At 40.2% G+C, this 2888-nt stretch overlaps 1 pseudogene, besides 1 other annotated feature; it reads left to right on the top strand.

The window, feature by feature from the left end:
• MRPS31P1 (mitochondrial ribosomal protein S31 pseudogene 1) lies at positions 1062-1274 on the top strand (annotated as a pseudogene).
• Positions 2608-2657: a silencer, noted in NCBI's record as "silent region_14236". NCBI's record gives its function as "represses an Ori minimal core promoter by ATAC-STARR-seq in GM12878 lymphoblastoid cells {active_cell/tissue: GM12878}" and the evidence as "EXISTENCE:reporter gene assay evidence [ECO:0000049][PMID:35858748]".

Genomic DNA, 2888 nt, shown 5'->3' on the forward strand with positions numbered 1-2888 from the left:
ATAAAATTCCAAAAGTTTGATGACAAACTAATTAGACTGGGTTCTTCCAAGTATTTTGTCTAAATAGTTAATTTGGGAGATGATTTTGGACCTAACACCAGCAGGGAAGTGAGGAGGAGAGAGAGAGAAGTCCAGAAGGATGTGTTATCAGGATGTGTTCCATTTAACACTATGGAGACCTGGAGCTCAGATGGGGAAATGTGGGAGACGTTGTAGAACACACTTTAGTGTTATCCCCTCTAGGAATGACAAAGCAGGGGTATTTATCCACCTACTCCCCTATCTATCATTGCTTGATGGCTGCTTGTGGAAAATTAACTCTCAGGCACTTCTGCCCTATCCCCACACTCACGTACAGGTCAAACCTCCCTCCTAAAGCCAAAAAAAAAAAAAAAAAAAAAAAAGCCCTGGGGCAGAGGGTTGCAGCTGTAGTATAGAGATGACTTGTCTACAGGGTGTGGGTGGGGCATAGCCATATCTTCCACACACCCTCCATTGATGAAACTGCCAGAGAATAAGCATTCTCATACGTTGCTGGTGAGAATGGAAATTGTTACAAAACTTATGATCATTGGGAGTGCCTATTAGATACTGGCAATTTGACAATGTCATACTGATTCTTCTCTCCTGGTGCATATATTTTTTGAGTCAGCAGTACCACTTCCGGGAATTGATCCTACAGTTAAGATTTGCACATGTAGCAAATGACACATGTGCAAAATTGTTATGCAGCACTGTTTGTAATGACAAATGCTTAGAAACAATCTAATGTCCATTAATGGGGAGAGGTTAGTTAAATAAACTAAGGTACCAAGGAATGCTATGCAGTTATAAAAACAAATGAGGCGGAACTCTGAGTACTGATGTGGCCAGATTTCCAAGATAATGTAAGTGACAAAAATAAAGTGCAAGAAAATTATACTATCTTTTGTATTTTAAAAAGAGAGGGAAAGTAATACAAATTCATATTTTCATAGAGAAGTGGACAGGATACAGAATAAATTAATGATAGCATTAATGTAAGAGTGGTGGTGGTGGTGGGAAATGGTAGACAGGGTGAAATTATATATAGAAATATATATTTCTGAATAAATACCTGGAGGATTTTCCAAAGCAAGGACCAGGTTGCCACTTCATGGAGCTGGTGACTTATGGCCTTTCCACAAACCCATATCTGAGTGTAAAAACAGAAGGTTGAGCACATAGAGTGGTTTAGAAATTATTTTAATAATAAAATGGACATTCTGTAAGAATGTGATACTCGGTTCTATTGGAGACCATGGAAATTTTTATTTCTAGTGGCTGGAGATGGATATTATAGCTAAACAAAATAATTTTACTACAAAACATATATGTTACAAAAAGAAAGAAAGAGGAAGGCTATATAACCCAATCAAGCTGAGCTAATGAATCTGGCCTGGTATACCAGTCCAAGAGAGATACACACACAGACACACACACAGACACACACACACACACACACACACACGTGAATGCATTATTTAATTTGAAAATTAAATTTAGAAATACTGATGGATATCTGTTGGCATGGAATTATGGGGCACTTTTTCATTCTATCTCATACATTTTTATTTATTTGAATGCTTTACATGATGCATGTATTATTTTGAAATCTGGAAAAATAGTAGAGATATAATGACTAAATACAAACTAGGGAGACAGACAATAGTAGAAAATAATCAAAATAGAAGATTTATCAAACCAGGTGTTGAGTTGCAAGGAATAGAATTGACTCTGACTGATTAAAGCAGAAAAGAAATGTATTGGAAGGATATTGGATAGTTTACAGAATCACCAGAAAGGATAGAAGCAGTGGGCTTGAAATGCAAGCAGCAACCCAACGGGGCTAGGTAGCAATAACTACAGAACCAACTGATGAGTCGCCATCGTACCCACTGGCCCTGGTTCCCTCTGAGTCCCTTAGAGGAACAGGATGTCAGACCGGAAGTGTCAACGGAGGCACCAAAATATGACAGTTTTAGATGTCGGAATGAAATGCAAGGTAGATTACCAGGTAGAAAGGTCAAAGCAAATGACCCAGAACTGGGAACAGTGAGCAAATTAAAGGGATGAGAGACTAAGATTGGGGAACAATCCTTGAAGAGAACCTTAGAAGGGCTTAGTGTAGTCCCACCATGCTCAAGGGAGAGGGAGTCAGAAGGGTTTGTAGGGGAGCTGCCGATGAACCCATAAAAATGCCCACCTTTAGACACTGGCTGGACCCAAAGAGCAAAAGCCAGTTTATGACCGTAACCAGTTTGTTTAGAAATGTTGCATTCCTCTTACCTTTCCACATGGCCCCATTCCCAAAGGGAACCAAAACTGCAGCTAGCCAGTGGGGAGGATGTGATGGTGAGAGGAAGAAGACAGCTCAGCCTCTTCACAGCCCTAGCTGGGAGAGGGAGAATTTTTACCTTTGACTAAAAGATAAAAGTGTGGATTAATATACTGGGACTGTGTTTTGCAACCCAGTAACCATAGAACTTACTTGTGACAAAATATGAGAAAGTCACTCAGAAACACTCTCATGAAGGAGGCTTCAAAGAGTGGACAAAAATAAAGTTGCTTTCAAGATCACCCATCACAATTCCAGTAAAGTGACAGCCACACAGAAACAGAACATTACTGATGCAGTCACTGAAATAATTAAAGTTGCCTCAGCTTCTTGGTGTCATCTGTTCCCAAACAGAACCACCTGATTGGCAGAGGGGGGACTTCATGCTCCAGCTGCCATGGCTCATGTGGCCACAATACTCTACCTGGGGAATTCCCCAAGCTTAGGAAAAGGGTTCACAGGCAAAAACTGACCCATGTGCACTATAATGCAAGGCTTTGCATTCACTTCTGATGGGTACTGTACTCTGCTA

This window comes from Homo sapiens, chromosome 3, assembly GCF_000001405.40.
Source record: "Homo sapiens chromosome 3, GRCh38.p14 Primary Assembly".
Lineage (NCBI taxonomy): Eukaryota > Metazoa > Chordata > Mammalia > Primates > Hominidae > Homo > Homo sapiens.